A 19547-nucleotide genomic window follows, 5' to 3' on the forward strand; every position below is an offset into this window, starting at 1 on the left:
AGAATAGGAGAGTCCAAGAATGACAGTCAACTTAAAAATCTGTCTCCTGGCAGAAAATTGGGATTCTCAGAGGCTAGAAAATAATGTCCATCATCCCCACTCATTGAAAGTGTTTTTACTGTGAAATATAAGACATATGAATAAATAAAGCATAATCTTACAAATTAACAAATGATTATTGTAAAACATTTATGAAACCATATAGAGCAAGAAAGAGAATGTAGCTGGGACCCCAGAACACCCCCAATGCCTCCTCCCCATCCTAACACCCTCCCTGCTCCCAGGAGCCATCATCCAGCTGATACAGAAATCAGATCCCTAGTTTGATTTACAGTTGTAAATCTCAGAGCACATCCTGGACATTGTTGTGCAGCTTTGGCAGTTTTTGAACTTTATATAAATGGAATCATACAGCATGTGCTTTGTCCCATTGGCCTTTCACTCAACTTGATATTTGAGAGATCCATCCGTGTGGTTGTATGTTGTAGTTCATTCTTCCTCATTGCTGTGGAGTGTTCTGTTGTATAAATACACTGCCATACATTTACCCATCCTACTAGTGATGGGCTTTGGAGTCTTCTTGTGTTAGCCTATTACACACTGGCTGACGTGAACTTTCTTGTAGAAGCTGTGTGTACATATTTTTCTTGGATATACCAAAGAGTGGAAGTATTGGATTAAAGAATATGTGTAGCTTCAATTTATATCTCATATAGTTGTTGATTAAGATTTGGAATTTATAGGTCAATTTGAGGAGAATTAATGTGTTTACAATATCAAGTCTTCCAATCAAGAAACATGGTATATTGCTACAATTATTTAGGTCGTATTTAATTTAGTTTTTCTTAATATTGCTTTGTGGTTTCTACCATTAGCTATAATATGTAATATAGCTGTTGTTTTTTTTTAATCAAGTTAAGGAAGTTTCTTTCCATTCCTAATTTGCTAAGTGTGTTTCTCATGCATAGAAATTAAATTTTGTAAAATGCTTTTATCTTCCTCTACTGAGGTAATCAGTGTAATATTTTTCTCCTTTATTCTGTTAATTTGGCAAATTTCATTGATTTGGTAATGTTATTAACTACATACAAATTTATAACTTTTTCATTTTTCCAGTGAATTAAACCTTTTAGCATTAGGAAATGACCCCTTTGTGTCTAGTCATGTTTTGTTTTCTTTTTCTTAAAGACTATTTTATCTGCTATTCATGTAGCAAAAAGTGACCCTGTGTTTACTAGGTGCTGGCCGTTCATTTATTCATTCATTCACTCATTCATTCTTTAAAAAATATTTACCTGAGTAGCATCAAGGTCATGGGCACTGGAACCCAACTGTCAGAGCTGTGTGTAAACTTGTGCAACTGATTTAACTTCTCTTTTACATGTAAAGAGGAAGCCTCAGTTTCCTCATCTGTAAATTTCTTCCATCAGTTTGGGAAATTTCATTATCTCTTCAAATACTGCTTCTACCCAGACTTGCCCTCCGATCCTTCAGAGACTCCAATTTAACATGTTGGACCTTCCCATTGTATGTGCTCTGTCATTATCTTTTCCTCCATATTTTCCATCCTTTAGTCTCTCCTTGCTTTGTTCTGCTAGTTTCTTCTGATCTATTTTCCAGTGTGCTAATTCTCTCTTCAGCTGCACCTAAACTGCTATTAAACCTGTACACTGAGTTTAATATTTTTCAATTCTAGACAATATTTTCAATTCTAGAACTGCTAGTTGGCTCTTTTTAAACTAAGTAGTGTTACTTTTTATAATTTCCAGCTCCTTGCTTAAAGGTTTAAGAGTGGCTTTTAGCTTCATGAGCATAGTAAGCATTGATATTTTAAAGACCATGTCTTGTAATTACATGCTGACTTGTAATTACTCTCTGAAGTACCTGTGGGTTTGTTTCTGATGCCCATTGTTTGTGTAGGTCTTTGATCATGTTACCTTATCTCCTCATGTGTCTGTTTATATTTTGTGTACTATATTTCAAATTTGCACACTTATTTGTAGAAATATTTTCAGGTATACAATGATACTGTCCTTCTCCAAAGAGGATTTTCGTTTGCTTTTGTCAGATATCAGCACCTCTAGTGATCCAGGGTCACCTTAATTCAAAGTCAGGGCTTAAAATATCCTGGGCAATCTAAATAACTTGACTCCAGGTTACAGTTTGTATAACGAGTCTGGACTGGTTCCCTTCCATTTTACTAATATTTCTCCAGTATGGCTTTTTGGGTACCAACTGTAAGTGTGGAATGGTTTACCAGGCCCCCACCCGTAATGAACAATGAACTTGAACTTCGGTCCTCTGACAGCGTCAGGCTGTCAAAGGACCTGCTCAGCTGTTCAGCCATCCCCTCTGAATCAACCAACACTCCCTAGGTAAAAGCCGCCCAAAGACTGGGCATGCCCCTCCAGATGTGTCTTCTTAGACCTTGGCCCATGTACTCATCACAATCTTGTTAGATCTTTGCAACTTTTATGAAGATTTAATAATTATTTTGTCCACTTATCTTTTTCATTCACCCCTAGTGAAAAGATTGGTCCAAGTTATCTGGTTAGCCATATCAGAAATATAATCTCTAAATCTTTTAAAAGAATGTGGGTTCCATATGCCCTTGTCATGGTCACTTTATTCTGACCAAAGTCAGGGTTGGCGATGAGCTTAAGAGTGTGGCATTCATTAGGTTGAATTAACATTGATTTGAATGAAATTTTTTGTTGTTGTTGTTATTATACTTTAAGTTTTAGGGTACATGTGCACAATGTGCAGGTTAGTTACGTATGGATACATGTGACATGCTGGTGCGCTGCACCCACTAACTCGTCATCTAGCATTAGGTATATCTCCCAGTGCTATCCCTCCCCCCTCCCCCTACCCCACAACAGTCCCCAGAGTGTGATGTTCCCCTTCCTGTGTCCATGTGTTCTCATTGTTCATTTCCCACCTATGAGTGAGAATATGCGGTGTTTGGTTTTTTGTTCTTGCGATAGTTTACTGAGAATGATGATTTCCAATTTCATCCATGTCCCTACAAAGGACATGAACTCATCATTTTTTATGGCTGCATAGTATTCCATGGTGTATATGTGACACATTTTCTTAATCCAGTCTATCATTGTTGGACATTTGGGTTGGTTCCAAGTCTTTGCTATTGTGAATAGTGCCGCAGTAAACATACGTGTGCATATGTCTTTATAGCAGCATGATTTATAGTCCTTTGGGTATATACCCAGTAATGGGATGGCCGGGTCAAATGGTATTTCTAGTTCTAGATCCCTGAGGAATCGCCACACTGACTTCCACAATGGTTGAACTAGTTTACAGTCCCACCAACAGTGTAAAAGTGTTCCTATTTCTCCACATCCTCTCCAGCACCTGTTGTTTCCTGACTTTTTAATGATTGCCATTCTAACTGGTGTGAGATGATAACTCATTGTGGTTTTGATTTGCATTTCTCTGATGGCCATTGATGGTGAGCATTTTTTCATGTGTTTTTTTGGCTGCATCAATGTCTTCTTTTGAGAAGTGTCTGTTCATGTCCTTCGCCCACTTTTTGATGGGGTTGTTTGTTTTTTTCTTGTAAATGTGTTTGAGTTCATTGTAGATTCTGGATATTAGCCCTTTGTCAGATGAGTAGGTTGGGAAAATGTTCTCCCATTTTGTGGGTTGCCTGTTCACTCTGATGGTAGTTTCTTTTGCTGTGCAGAAGCTCTTTAGTTTAATTAGATCCCATTTGTGAATTTTGGCTTTTGTTGCCATTGCTTTTGGTGTTTTAGACATGAAGTCCTTGCACATGCCTATGTCCTGAATGGTAATGCCTAGGTTTTCTTCTAGGGTTTTTATGGTTTTAGGTCTAATGTTTAAGTCTTTAATCCATCTTGAATTGATTTTTGTATAAGGTGTAAGGAAGGGATCCAGTTTCAGCTTTCTCCATATGGCTAGCCAGTTTTCCCAGCACCATTTATTAAGTAGGGAATCCTTTCCCCATTGCTTGTTTTTCTCAGGTTTGTCAAAGATCAGATAGTTGTAGATATGCGGCATTATTTCTGAGGGCTCTGTTCTGTTCCATTGATCTATATCTCTGTTTTGGTACCAGTACCATGCTGTTTTGGTTACTGTAGCCTTGTAATATAGTTTGAAGTCAGGTAGCGTGATGCCTCCAGCTTTGTTCTTTTGGCTTAGGATTGACTTGGCGATGCGGGCTCCTTTTTGGTTCCATATGAACTTTAAAGTAGTTTTTTCCAATTCTGTGAAGAAAGTCATTGGTAGCTTGATGGGGATGGCATTGAATCTATAAATTACCTTGGGCAGTATGGCCATTTTCACGATATTGATTCTTCCTACCCATGAGCATGGAATGTTATTCCATTTGTTTGTATCCTCTTTTATTTCATTGAGCAGTAGTTTGTAGTTCTCCTTGAAGAGGTCCTTCACATCCCTTGTAAGTTGGATTCCTAGGTATTTTATTCTCTTTGAAGCAGTTGTGAATGGGAGTTCACTCATGATTTGGCTCTCTGTTTGTCTGTTGTTGGTGTATAAGAATGCTTGTGATTTTTGTACATTGATTTTGTATCCTGAGACTTTGCTGAAGTTGCTTATCAGCTTAAGGAGATTTTGGGCTGAGACAATGGGGTTTTCTAGATATACAATCATGTCGTCTGCAAACAGGGACAATTTGACTTCCTCTTTTCCTAATTGAATACCCTTTATTTCCTTCTCCTGCCTAATTGCCCTGGCCAGAACTTCCAACACTATGTTGAATAGGAGTGGTGAGAGAGGGCATCCCTGTCTTGTGCCAGTTTTCAAAGGGAATGCTTCCAGTTTTTGCCCATTCAGTGTGATATTGGCTGTGGGTTTGTCATAGATAGCTCTTATTATTTTGAGATACGTCCCATCAATACCTAATTGATTAAGAGTTTTTAGCATGAAGGGTTGTTGAATTTTGTCAAAGGTCTTTTCTGCATCTATTGAGATAATCATGTGGTTTTTGTCTTTGGTTCTGTTTATATGCTGGATTACATTTATTGATTTGCGTATATTGAACCAGCCTTGCATCCCAGGCATGAAGCAAACCGAATCCAGCAGCACATCAAAAAGCTTATCCACCATGATTTGAATGAAATTTAACTTATATCCATTGAGCACAGCAAGTATGAGCTAGGTACATTCACCATACTAAGTGTATGTGTGAGAATATGTTTATTTTCCTTTTAAAAAAACAATTATCCATGTAGCACACTGGCTAAGGGTATGAGTCCAAGAGTCCAATGGCCAGGACCTTCCATCTGTAAACTGTGTTCCAGTTGCTCATCTTCTCTGTGCCTCAGTTTCCTCATTTGTAAAATGATAATAATTATAATAGAATGCCTTGATTGAACTGTTATATAGATTGAGTGATATTATGCAAAAACAGTGTTCTTGACTCAAATTAGTAATTCTTAACAATTATATTTATTATCACCTGTCATTTTCTGGGGACTCTGCCAGGCCCTGCAAATGCAAAGGTGGTAAGAAGAAACTCTGTGGTCTTGTCCATGAGAAGGACAATCATACAACCAGTGCCTGGAAAGGTTGGTGGGTGCTGGAAGGGCAGCAGCAAAGGAGGGGCACCTCTTCTGGGGTCCGTAAGATGACCAGGTTCAGTGGTTCACTAAGACAGCTCATGGACTCAGCCTATAGTTGTACCCATGGCTAAGAGTTACTGCAGTGAAAGGATTCAAAGCAAAATCAGCAAAGGGAAAAGCTACAAGGCGTAAAATCCAGAGGAAACCAGGCACAAGTTTCCAGAATCCTCTCCCCATGGAGTCACACAGGATGCACTTAATTCACATGAGTTGTGGCAGCATGTGTGAAATGTTGTCTACCAGGAAGCTATCTTGAGCTTAGAGTCCAGGGATTCTGTTGGGATCAGTCATACGGGCACATCTCCTTCCTGTCACGTACCAAGAGTCCAGACTCCAGGAAGGAAAGCAGATGTTCAGCTAAGCCACATTGCACCTAATGAGACCCTGTGTTCAGAGTGCCTTGCCAGAAAAGGAGACCTCGAATTGATTTTTGGAACATGTGAGGAGAGTTCCTGGGCAGAGGGGAATGTGGGTGCTCTAGTTGTGTTGGGGCATGGCTTATTCAGGGACTGCCAGCACGTGCTTGGTTGGGGAGGATATGAGATGTGGGTGCAGACCCTAGCGCGACAAAGCCGCTATCTCAGGGAGCTGTGGTCTAGGGGAATGACAGATAAACTGTGGCTTAGATACCCTGGTAGGCTAACCAAACAGCTGGTGGGAGCTCGGGGTCAGAAATGCCCATGTTAGTGGCCCAGGGGAGGCTCCAGAGAAGGGATTATTTTGGAGGGATTTTTCAGGGCGAGGAGTCCATTCTGGGTGTAAAAGTGATTGGAGATGGGGCAAAAGGAGTGGCTTTAAAAAGCTTCTGGGCTGGGCGCGGTGGCCCACACCTGTAATCCCAGCACTTTGGGAGGTCAAGGCAGGCAGATCATTTGAGCTCAGGAGTTCGAGAGCAGCTTGAGCAACACAGCAAAACCTCATCTCCACAAAAAAATATAAAAAATTAGCCAGGCATAGTGGCATACACTCTATAGTCCCAGCTATTTGGGAGGCTGAGGTGAGAGGGTCACCTGAGTCCAGGAAGTCGAGGGTGTGATCACGCCCCTGAACTCCAGCCTGGGCGACAGAGGGAGATCCTGTCTCAAAACAAAACAAAAAGCATCTGCACAATGAAACATGCAATGAGATGCCATTTATGGGTGAATGAACACAAACACCAAAAGCCACCTTTATGAACATGATATGCAGGGAAAGTAGAGACCTGTAAACTGGAGAGAGGGTCACTGCATTCATGGGGATGGCTGTCTGAGGCTGAGAGGGAGGGAAAAGGATTGCAGGGAGCCATAAAGAATTCCAACTTGACCTGTAAAGTTCCATGTTTTTTGTTTTTGTTTGTTTTTATATTTTTTGAGATGGAGTCTCTCTCTGTCACCCAAGTTGGAGTGCAGTGACACAATCTCAGCCCACTGCAACCTGGACCAGCTTCAAGTGATTCTCCTGCCTCAGCCTCCCAAGTAGCTGGGATTACAGACGTGCGCCACCACGCCCGGCTAATTTTTATATTTTTTAGTAGAGACAGGGTTTCACCGTGTTGGCCAGGCTGGTCTCCAACTCCCAACCTCAGGTGATCTACCCACCTCAGCCTCCCAAAGTGCTGGGATTACAAGCGTGAGCCACCATGCGCAGCTATCTGTAAGGTTCCATTTTTTTTTTTTTTTTTTTTTTTTGAGACGGAGTCTCTCTGTCGCCCAGGCTGGAGTGCAGTGGCGCAATCTCGGCTCACAGCAAGCTCCACCTCCCAGGTTCACGCCATTCTCCTGCCTCAGCCTCCCGCTTCCATGTTTTAAATGAAAAAAAAAAAAAAAAAAAAAAAAAAAAAAAGATGTGAGCGGTGGATTCACAGGTGTTTAATATTATTATTATGGTGTGGGTTTGTTTTTCATGATTTTTAGAAAGATATTGGGGTGGGGGAGCGGGGATGAAGGCAACAGAATGATAAGACAAGAGGCAGGACAGCCGGAGCCATCTCTGAGCTGCCTGGAAGCCCTGCTGGGTGATCTTGAGTGTGAGGGGAACAGAGGTCTTCCACGTTATTTGAGGAGGACTCATGATAAGACGTGAAGTTTATGAAAATAACTCACTTAAGCATGGAGGGTGGAAGGGAAGACAAAGAGACCAGTGGGGATTGTGAAAATAATCTAGATGGTGACCCAGGGGAGGCCCTAATGATGGTTTTGAGGAGATGCCAGAGTTAGAGAGCTCACTGTGGGAGGAGAGCAGGTGTGAAGCTTGGCAAGGAGAGCAGATGTGAAGGTTGGCGAGGAGAGCAGGTGTGAAGCTTGGCTGAGTGGGGTTGAGAGGGCTCTAAGGTGACGGGTGCATCCCAAGGCTGTGCGTGTGTGCGTGTGTGTGTGTGTAGGAGTGTGTCTATGTGTGCAAGTATGTATGAGTCTATGTGTGATTCATGTGTGTATGTGTGCACTTGTCTATGCATGGATGTATGTAGGAGTGTGTGCATGGATCAAATGTGAACGAAAGTGTGCATGTGTTCCTGTGTGTGTGCATGTGTGTATATGTGCCTGTGTCTGCATGCATATGTGTATGAGTACATGTGCATGTGTCTGTGTGTACAAGTGTGTGTGCATGTGGGGGAGTTACTTGTCTGTGTGTACAAGTGTGTGTGCATGTGGGGGAGTTACTTGTATGTGTGTCTATGCATGCTTGCATACGTGTGACTTGAGAGTTCCTGTCTGTGGATCTCCTTGTGTCTTGTGGGAGGCTTGTGGAGGAGAGGCAGAGAGCAGCTCAGGCCCCACACAGGGTCCTGCCGTGACCTGTAACCCCATCTGTGGTTCTCCGCTCCAGGAGCTGTACTTCAGCACCGTGGACACTTTCCAGAAGTTCGTGGATGCCCTGTTCCTTCAGACGCTCCCTGGCATGACTGGCCTCCCCCCGGAAGAGTGTGACTACTTGAGGCAGGAAGTCCAGGAGAACGCTGCCTGGCAGCTGGGGAAGTCAAATCGCTTCCGGAGGCAGCAGTGGAAACTCTTCCAGGAGCTCCTAGAGCAAGACCAGCAGGTGCGGGCATTTGGGAACCCAGGGGCTGGGGTCTGCATTTTAGAAACACACGAAGAAGCGTGAGAGATCTCACGTCCTGAACACCCACTAGTGCCTATTGTAGGTGCTCTACGGAGATGACTGTTGCCTCCCTTTCACAATGGCCCACCACAGGGGTGGGATGAGAGAGCAGAGCCCTTATCTCCCTCAACAGGAAGTCGGAGATCATACCTTAAGTTGATCGATTAAGAAGAGCAGCAAAGCTTGTTCTTTAGAACGAGAGAAATAAGTAGCCAACCAAATGGCAGGAAGGAAAGGGGTTCACAGGGAGTGGGCTCAGTGGGGGTGGGAGAAGCGGCACACAGGACTCCTGTTTTTCAGTGAGTCTGATTATTAAGACCATGGATTTATGCTGAGACAGAATCGTGACCCCTCAAAGATATCTATGCTGTGTTCCCTTACAGGGCAAAAGGCAGGTGCGGTTGAGTGAAGGACTTTGAGGTAGGGATGTTTGTGGGTTATCCTGGTGAGCCCAGCGTAATTGCAAGGGTTCTTACAGGAGACAGGCAGAAGGGTGGGAGTCAGAGAAGGAGGGTTGATGTTCTAAGCAGAGGTCGGAATGGTGTGGCTGTGAGTCTAGGAACTCTGGCTGGTTCTAGAAGCTGGAAAGGTCAAGGAGCACATTCTCCCCTATAGCCTCTAGAAAAGAGCACAGCCCTGCTGACACCTTGATTTTAACCCATTAAGACCCATTTCAGCCTTCTGGCCTCAAAACTGTAAGATAGCAGATTTGTGTTGTTTTCAGCTACAGCTTGTAGCAATGTGGAACAGCAGCAATAGGAAACTAATACAATACACATTGATTTTTTTTTTTTTTTTTTTTTTGGAATGGAATCTTGCTCTGTCCAGGCTGGAGTGCAATGGTGCGATCTTGGCTCACTGCAACCTCCGCCTCCCAGGTTCAAGCGATTCTCCTGCCTCAGCCTCCCAAGTAGCTGGGATTACAGGCACGTGCCACCACGCCTGGCTAATTTTTGTATTTTTAGTAGAGAAGGGGTTTCATCATGGTGGCCAAGCTGATCTCAAACTCCTGAACTCAAGTGATCTGCCCGCCTTAGCCTCCCGAAGTGCTGGGATTACAGGCATGAGCCACTGTGCCCAGCCCAGATTGATTTTATCTTTAAAAAATTAAAAACTGTTAAATTAAAGAAGGCATTTCCAAATTCAACATCCACCAAGACAGCCCACCAGTCCTTTCTCCCCTGCCTTCGGCCCTCTAGAGGCTGTGAAACTAACATCCTCAATATCCATATCCCTTGCAACTAGCCATGGCTGAGTGACACTGCTCTGGCCTTTGAAACAAAGCAAAGGGCTTCTGTTTCCTGATACCAGAGCCGGTTTTGCTTGGAGCAGCCCCCTTCTTCAGTGTCCCATTCTTCCTTCTTAGAACGCATGGGAGGCCTGGAGGTGCATCAGCCTTTCTCTGCCCTAGAGGCAGCCTGCGTGAGCCTGGTGGGCTCCAGATGGTGGAGCAGTCTCAGACAGCCCTGAGCCCCTGGCAGTGCTGTTAAGCCATTACCGCAGCCCTGAACCGCCTGCCCCTACATGCTTATTGTCAGAAACAAGCCCTGTTTCTTTAAGTTGGGTTTGCGATTAGTTACAAAAGACCAGTGTGACTGATGCATCCATCTGAAAGAGGTTTCCTAAAACAATTCCTTGGGGCAATAGAAAGTACAAAGTAGATAGAGGAGAGCGTTATGCAAACACATGACCACTCACAGCTGTGGGGACAGGCACAGGGCCTAGTTGCCTGCCCGAATGAATTCTTAGACCTCCTTCTAGTTCATTCAGTCCTCTGTCAGTGGCATCCGGTTGCCCTGTCGTAGGTGACTTGTCTGTCTCCTGCATTTGGCTATGAGTTCCTTGAGGACGGCAACCCTGATTTTCATCTTGACACCACCTATTCAAAGCCCAGTGGCTGCAATATGGTAAATGTTCAGGAAAACTTGTAGCATTTCCAGCAACAATAATGCAGCTTTGGAAATGATTACAGTGTTGCCTTTGCCCTGTATTCTTCGAAGGGATCTAAATGAAGCTGAATTCTTCCTATTCATTCCAAATCCTAGGCCGCAGACCAATTCATTTACAGTCTTTGGGGAGGGAGGAGGACCTGGGCCTCAGTGTCTCAGAAACCAGGTGAGCCTAATGGGCCTCTGAAGTGGACCCACTAAATGAGTGTAGGGGCCTTTTAGAGACCATTGTGGTTTTGCAGCCAGGCCCCTAACCTCAGAAGCCTAAGATATGGGTTTGAGCCAGAGCAGACACATTAATGGGCTGTGTGACTTTAGCCAGTGAGCTGACCTCTTGCAACTCTGTGATTTTACACAACTTGCTAAAAATGCCTCAGAACTACACCTTCTATGTGAAAACTAAGGGTCACAATATCCAAATGATTCCATTCAGATAATGCAAGTTAAGACCTTTTGCACAATATCTGTTGAATCATTTAATGGTATTGATAGTGAAGGAATCCAGAATTTCATTTCTGACAAAACACCTGTGATTCATCTAAAACTCTCTGGTTAGGAGTCTTAAGTTATTTTAGGCAAATAGACTATGCTCAGCTCTGTTTTGAATGTTTTATTTGTTTACTTTGTGAGCATACGATTGTGAATTTTTCTTGGCATGTGGGGAAGGTTTCTGGTTGAGTTTTGCATGCAGGAAGCAAGCAGGAGAGTTAATGACCTCATCAGCTGATTACATAAGTATGACCCAAGACTGTTTTCTCAAGGTGTCTATGTCACAGTTAATTTACTGATTACTTAACTGCCTTAAATTAACACATGATAGCCGGGTGCGGTGGCTCACGCCTATAATCCCAGCACTTTGGGAGGCCAAGACGGGCGGATCATGAGGTCAGGAGATCGAGACCATCCTGGCTAACATGGTGAAACCCCGTCTCTACTAAAAATACAAAAATTAGCCAAGTGTGATGACAGGTGCCTGTAGTCCCAGCTACTCGGGAGGCTGAGGCAGGAGAATGGCGTGAACCCGGGAGGCAGAGCTTGCAGTGAGCCGAGATCACGCCACTGAACTCCAGCCTGGGTGACAGAGCGAGACTCCGTCTCAAAAAAAAAAAAAAAAAAATTAACACACGATAGTTAGAGATCCACCTGCCATATTTCCTCATTGATGAAAAAAAGAGAAATGAGCTCTCTGTCATTCAGATGAATATTAGTCATGAGAAGAAAAGCACCAGCGAAGCTATTCATGGAAAATCAAAAACACATCGACTACAAATTGCCTTTCCCACATTGTTTTCTATCCAAAAAGACAGTGGGTCGTTTCATATCCCATTGCTCAGGGAAGTTATTAAAAATTAATGGAATTTGTGAATTACCCCGTTAGAACAGGTTGTAGAATGGTGTTTCTCAAAATTTAATCTGCTCTAATGCAGATTTCTGCTCTCAGTCCCCTTGCGGTAGGCAGCTATAATGGCCCCCCAGAGAGGCCCACATCCTAATCCCTAAAACCCGTGAATATGTCTGGTTACAAGGCAAAAAGGACTTTGCAAATCTTTGCGAATGTGATTAAGCAAAGGATCGTGAGATGGGGATATTCTCCCGATGATCTGGCTTGGCCCCATGTTATCACAAGGGTCCTTATAAGTGAAAAAGGAGCAGCAGTGCCAGAGTGAGGAGTGAGGAAGACTCTGCAGCCATTGCTGGACTTGAAGACGGAGGAAGGGGCTGTGAGCCCGGGAATGCAAGTGCCCTCTAGGAACTGGAAAGGGCAAGAAAATGGATTCTGCCCCAGACCCTCGGGGAGGAGTGCAGACCTGCCAACCCTCATTTCAGGCTTCCGATCTCCAGAAGCGTAAGGTAATAAGTGTTGTTTTAAGCCAACAAATTTGTAATAAAGTGTTATAGCAGCCACAGGAAACTAACACACCAGTGAGTAGGAGTGGGGCAGGGAATGTGGCAGTTGGTGCACTCCTTAGCATAACAGTAAAGAACACCAGTGCTAGAGGCAGTCTGTCTGAGTTTGAATCCTGGCTCCCCACCTCACTCTCCTCTCCCTCTGGCTCTGCACCCCACTCCGGGTGGTTTTCATCATTTCATCACCAAGTCTGCTCTCCTCTGTGCCGAGCTTTCAGGCCTCCTCTTACTGGACAAGGTGGTGTTTGGCCAAGTTGGTCTCTTTCCTCCTCCTTGAAACACCCGCTTGACTCTCTTGCTTCTCCTCCCAGCTCACTTCTTTCTCCTTCTCAGTCTCCTTTGCTGGCCCCTTCCCAGCTCCTTAATTTCTGAACACTGGAGAGCCCTGGGGTGCAGTCTCCAGTCCTCTTCTTTATCTACATGCACTGTCTCAGTGATCCCATCCAGTCACACACCACCTGTATTAGTTTTCTAATGCTGTGTAACAAGTAACCCCCAAACTAGAAGCTTAAAACAACATGCACTTATTGTCTCACAATTTCTGTGGGTCAGGGGTCCAGGCACAGTTTAACTGGGCCCTTTGTTCAGGGCCTCTCACAAGGCCACATCCAATCCCTGGGCTGGGGCTGGAGTCTCATCAGAAGGCTTCACTGGAGAAGAGTCACTTCTGTGCTCACTCACATGGCTCCCCCTCTCAGGTTTCAGTTCCTCAAGGGTCGTTGGACTGAGAGCCAACAGCTTCCAAATTTACATGCTCAGCTCAGGATCATTCCTGAACTCAGATCTACATGAAGTCTCCATTTAGATGATTGATAGACATGAGAAATGGGTGTGTCAAAAACAGCCGTTGCTCTTCCTGCCAACCTGCCTTACCCACAGCCTTCCTCCATTTTTCTACTAAATTAGGGCAAAAACCTTGGGGTCATCCTCGACTCCTCTTTCTTTCACACCCTACATCGGTGGACAAGAAATCCCATTGATTTTGCCTTCCGTCTAATCCTGAATGTAACCACTATTCAGCACCTCCCCTCTTAGCACCCTGGTCAAAACCACTCTTGTCTGGGTTACTGCAACAGCTGACCAACTGCTTTACCTCCATTCTCAACCCCCACCCAGAGTGATACGTTTAAGACACGCTTGTCCAACCCACAGGCTGCATGCAGCCCAACACAAATTCATAAACTTTCTTAAAACATCATGAGATTTTTTCACGTTTGTTTTAGCTCCTGAGCTGTCATTCGTGTTAGTGCATTCTGTGTGTGGCCCAAGTCAGTTCTTCCAGTGTGGCCCGGGGAAGTCAAAAGATTGGACGTCCCTGTTTTAAGACATCCTGTATGCCACTAATTTTTAGGATACATATTTAAAAATATTTTAACATCCCTGAAATCAAGATACACTTTAATTGGCAGTGACTTTTCTCTGTTAGTGATACTGGAAATAATTGGGCATCTTACAGTCGTCAGCACAATAGATTTGATAGGGAACACTAAGTCACATCGTGTTGCTTCTCTGCAGAACCCCCAATGGCTTCTCATTTCACACAGCATGAAAGTCAGAGTCCTCGCCACACTCTGCAAAGCCCACCATGTCAGGCCCTGGCTGCCCTCTGACCGCAACTGCATGCTGCCCCCAGCCCCAGTGGTTCCTTGCACTCCTCTGGCTTTCTGGGCACGTTCCTGCCTTACTCTGTCCTGCTCCTGGTCTTTGCTCCATGTCACCTTCACAGCAAGGCCTACTCTGACCATGCTGTTTAAAACTGCAATGCCCCCCTCACCCCCAGCACTCCAGTGTTTGCCTCGGGAGTTGATTGTAGAGTCCACCCCACCTAAAAACCCTCCCTGTTTCTAGGAGGACACTAACAAACTTTCAGCACATGCTAGGCATCAATCAATAGATCTTTCCCTTTCTCCCCATAATACATGAGAGTTTGAAACAAAGAGTAAAACTTACTTGAGGCCACAAAATGACCTGGTAGCAATGACCAGCACTCTAGCCCGAGGAAGCACCTCTTCTGAATGTAAGCATTTACAAGCCTGCATTTGATAATGCTGAAGAGGTTTATGTAACAGCTGCAGGCACCATCTGGTCCAGAGATCTTGACCTTATCGATCATCATCGAATCCTGTTGCTAGTTTAAGCTGCATTCTCAAAACACGCAGCAAAGACCCCTATATACTTTAGTGGCAATGCAGACTCACCTTTCAAAGAATCAAGACTGGCCAAGCATGGTGGATCACGCCTGTAATCCCAGCACCTTGGGAGGCCAAGGCAGGTAGATCACCTGAGATCAAGAGTTCGAGACCAGCCTGGCCTACATAGCGAAACCCCATCTCTACTAAAAATACAAAAATGAGTCGGGCATGGTGACATGCACCAGTAATCCCAGCTACTTGGGAGACTGAGGCAGGAGAATCCCTTGAACTCGGGAAGCGGAGGTTGCAGCGAGCTGAGATCATAGCACCTCACTCCAGCCTGGGTGACAGAGTGAGACTCCATCTCAAAAAAAAAAAAAAAGACAACGATGACTGTGCAGAATTTTCTAGAATATTCTGGTTTCCCTAGCACTCCAATAGATTATTGTAAACTCCTTACAAGAGGAATCAGAGATGGGAGTTAATGAAATGTTCCAGATAGCACAGTGTAGTTTTGTGAGAGTTAAGTGCAAGTGTTATGAATCACAGCATCCACCAGAACTGAAGTCTAGGCTGCAAGTGCTTCTGTCCAGGCCTCTGTGTTTAATCTGCATTCCAAATGCAGCGTGCGCCATCTCCAGGATGCCAGAGGTACAGCCTTTTACAAAGCCATGGAAAAGGGACTGACTCTCACCTTAAGGATGGAGTCCTTGGTTGTAGCATGGTCTTGCTGACTTAGGTGCATCTGGTGATGTGAGATCGTCAGGGAGGAGCATGGTGGATTTAGAAAATATTGGAGCTTTGGAGACAGAAAGATGCAGATTTCAGTTCCTGCCCCACTGTTTATTAGCTGTGTGACCTTGGACCTCATTAGAATGGGCTTTGTAATGTGTGTTCTTTTAAAAACAGAGGAGATTAATAGCCCTAAAAACAAGACACTGTGAAACAAAACAAGACACTGAAAAAATATACTTTATGAATGAAAATTATAGTAATGAGGCTGGGAGTGGTAGCTCATGCCTGTAATCTCAGCACTTTGGGAGGCCGAGGCAGATGGATCACTTGAGGTCAGGAGTTCAAGACCAGCCTGTCCAACATGGTGAAACCCTGTCTCTACTAAAAATACAAAACATTAACTGGGCGTGGTGGCGGGTGCCTGTAATCCCAGCTACTCCAGAGGCTGAGGCAGGAGAATCGCTTGAACCCGGGAGGTGAAGCTTGCAGTGAGCCGAGATCTCACAGGAGATCACTTAGCCTGGGCAACAGAGCAAGACTCCATCTCAAAAAGAAAAAAAGAAAATTATAGTAATGAAAACAGAAATCTAATTGGATTAGTTAATGGAATAGCAGATTAAATTGTGGCTAAAGAAACAATGTGCGAACTAGAAGATAAATGTGAGAAGGTGGTCCTGGAACACAGCTCAGAGATCTAAAGAGATGGAAAATATAGAAGAAGAGACATGGAGAATAGGATGACAAAATCCTATAGGAGTAGAAGGTATCTAATTCTGAAGAAATAAAATAGACAATTTTCAAAACAGTAAGTGAGAACAGAGGGAGTGAGAGGGAAATAAGAAATAATATTGGGCAAAGGAACATTGATGATTCAAACAATGAACTGAAGAGTTTAGAAAGGAGCGCTTTAGATGAAGAGTTTAGAAAACAGCGCAGAACCAAAATAATGAAGAGCAGTATCCAGGAAGGCAGAGAGAACACTGGAATCTTATTTCTCCTTCTAGTCTGGAGGAGGGCAGAAGTATGAACTTTATATTTACAAATTAAATATACAACTTAAAAACTGAAGAGTAATCACCTGGGAGAGAAAAGAATAGCCCCTCCCATCCAGGAGCCAGCTTGTTACTCACAGCTGGGCCTGGGTGTTCTCCTATTGAACAACCAACCACCGAGCATCCACATGATGAGGCCCCTCTGTTACATGAAAGATGGAGCCAAAAATGAGACCACCCTGCCACCATACCTGAACACAGACCCAACGTGAACACTGTCCAACTCCCCACCCCTGAAATGCCCAGACACCCCGCCCTGGCTGAGCCAAGCCTGGCTTCATTAAGCCCTCCCCAGCCCACACCTGGGCCTTTCTAACCCCTCTACACATTCTCCCTTGCTGCATCAAGTGATAACCCAATCTGTTCAGCCTTAGGGGAGCTCTGATGGCCTGTGCAGTGCATTGACAGAGTAAAATAACTAAGCAGAATATGTGACTTCCAAGGTAGAGAAAAAAGTATTCCAAAATGCAGGTTAGACACCTAAAAAATGATGAATCCAATAAAAGAGAAAAACATTGGGAAGAATGCACATTTCATAATATCTAGAAAAGACAAGATTAGATGGTGGGAAATAAGTCCAAGCATCCCATTAGTCACAATAAATACTAGCAGATCCATTCAGATTGCTAAAAAACACATTTCCTAATCTAGCTATGTGGCATTACAGGAGACACAGCTAGATCATCAAAAGTTAGAAAGTCAAGTTAAGGAAAACAATATCCCAGGCAAATATCCACCAAAAGAGAGTGCATGATACTAAGATCTGATGAATTATACTTTAGGCAGAAAACTTTTTTTAGGGATAAAGAGAGTCATTGCATAGTGTAAGAGGAACATACAACAATTTAGCCACAAAACACATGAAGCAAAATTGGACAGACTTGAAAGACAAACAAATTGAAACCATGATGGAAGACTTTAATACCCCACCTCACAGAAAATAACAGACCGATCAGACCGTAAGTCAGGCCGTGAAAAGATCTGTTCTGAACAACACAGTCAGTTAGGATGAGCAGACGCTCCTACATCGAATTTTATGCACCATATTTATGGATAATATGAATGTCTCTATTGAAAAGCCAAAAGGATCTACAAACTGTCACAACTATGAAGATTGCTCTGAAATGTCACCATATACGAAATCAGTATCCCAAACCAGTAGATTTCCTCCATACCAGCAACACCCAGTGACAAAGAAAGATCATCTTCAGAATAAAAGCCACAAGGTACCTAAAAATAAGTTGACCAATGTGTATAAGGGCTTAAGGGAGACGTTTATAGAATGTCATTGAAGGCATGAAGAAAAATGAGAGAAATGGCATGTTTTGGGGTGGAAAACTCAGTTTTCCAAAGATGGCGATTCTCTCCAAATTGATCTGTAAAATCAACCCAATTATGAGAAAATTCCAAAGAGTCTTTTTTCCCCTAAACTTGACCAGCTGATCCTAAAAGTCATATGAAAGGAAAAGCAACCAAGAATAGCTCAGGCAGCTTTGAACAAGAGGATAAGGCAGGACCTACCCTCGCTGCATTGATATTTAATTGCTACATTAGTAAGCATGGTATTGGTGCGGAAATAAACACACCAATAGAACAAAGTACAGAAGCTGGGACAAGATGTGTGTGTATATGTTAATTATACAAGACAAAGTGGCGTTAGAGGAAAGCCAGAAAAAAAATAAATTATTTAATAAACACTGTTGGGACAATTAGTTATCCATTTATCCAGAGAAAATTAGATCCCTTCCTTACTCCACAGAAAATAAATTTTAGATACTTCAATTTAGAATATTTAAAATTTTCGTATTTGCATTTTTCCTAAATGCAAATAGGAAAGATTTTAAGGTTTTAGAAGAAAATACAAGAGAAAATGTTAATGAAATCGGGGCAGAAAGGGATTTAAAAAAGAAACGCACACAAACAAGAAACAAAATGCACAATCCTAGCAAGCAGGATTGTTGAAGTGAGTAACCACATGCCTGCTCTGTCCCTCTGTCCCGAGTTCAGGTGTGGATGGAGGAGTGTGCGCTGTCCAGCGTGCTGCAGACACACCTGCGGGAGGACCACGAGGGCACCATCCGCGGCGTCTTGGGCCGACTGGGCGGCCTCACTGAAGAGTGAGTACAGCTCCCTGAAGGCCCAGGGCTTTGTGTCCTGCATGATGCTCCCTCCAGCCTCAGTGTCCTCATCTGTACAGTGGGCACGCTGACTGCCCCTCAGCTTCCTTTGAATGTAAATGACTTAACGTTTCTTAGCCTCGATTTCCTCATCTATAAAATGGGATAATGCTATCTATTTGATAGAGTTGTCTGTCATAGGAACTTTTTTAAACAGCTTTTTTCAGGTATAGTTTACATACATTTATTTTACGAGTACAATTCAGTGATTGTTAGTAAATTTTACAGAGTTCTACCCCATCACCACAATCCAAATTTAGAACATTTCTATCACCCCAAAAATTGCTACAACGCAATTGTAAAAGATTTCTTGTGCCCAATTGCAGCCACTCCCCAATTTATTATCAGTTTTTATATTCATTTTTCACATTTTTGCTATAACAATTAGTGCAATATGGTCTTTCCAATTTGCTGGAAAGTATTTTTTTCCTTCTTTCATTATGAGAAAAATATATATATATTTATATATATATTTATATGTATTTATATATTTATATATATTTATATATATTTTTATATATTTATATTTTTATATATTTATATATATTTATATATATTTATATACTTATATATATATTTATGTATTTATATTTATATACATATATATATATTTTTTATATATATATATATTTTTTTTCTTTTTTCTCGAGACAGACTCTCGCTCTGTCGCCCAGGCTAGTGTCCAGTGGTGCAATCTTGGCTCACTGCAACTTCCCTCTGCCTCCCGGGTTCAAGTGATTCTCCAGCTTCAGCCTCCCGAGTAGCTGGGATTACAGGTGCCCACCATCATGCCTGGCTAATTTTTGTATTTTTTGTAGAGATGGGGTTTCACCATGTTGGCCAGGCTGGTCTCAAACTCCTAACCTCAAATGATCTACCCACCTCAGCCTTCCAA

At 43.2% G+C, this 19547-nt stretch overlaps 1 protein-coding gene across 45 annotated transcripts in view; it reads left to right on the forward strand.

Annotated features, from left to right (window-relative positions):
* The window catches only part of EVC (EvC ciliary complex subunit 1), a 117857-nt gene that overhangs the window by 63925 nt on the left and 34385 nt on the right, over nt 1-19547 (forward strand). For 44 of the 45 annotated variants that reach the window (XM_047449774.1, XM_047449769.1, XM_047449778.1 and 41 more), the window contains 2 exons: nt 8427-8639; nt 18483-18592. In XM_047449774.1, coding sequence (XP_047305730.1) covers nt 8427-8639; nt 18483-18592 — 323 coding nt within the window. Of the gene's footprint in view, nt 1-8426; nt 8640-12275; nt 12565-18482; nt 18593-19547 lie in introns of those variants that run through there. The other variant, XM_011513419.3, reaches the window with a different exon arrangement.

The sequence above is a fragment of the Homo sapiens genome, chromosome 4, assembly GCF_000001405.40.
Source record: "Homo sapiens chromosome 4, GRCh38.p14 Primary Assembly".
NCBI classification, from domain to species: domain Eukaryota; kingdom Metazoa; phylum Chordata; class Mammalia; order Primates; family Hominidae; genus Homo; species Homo sapiens.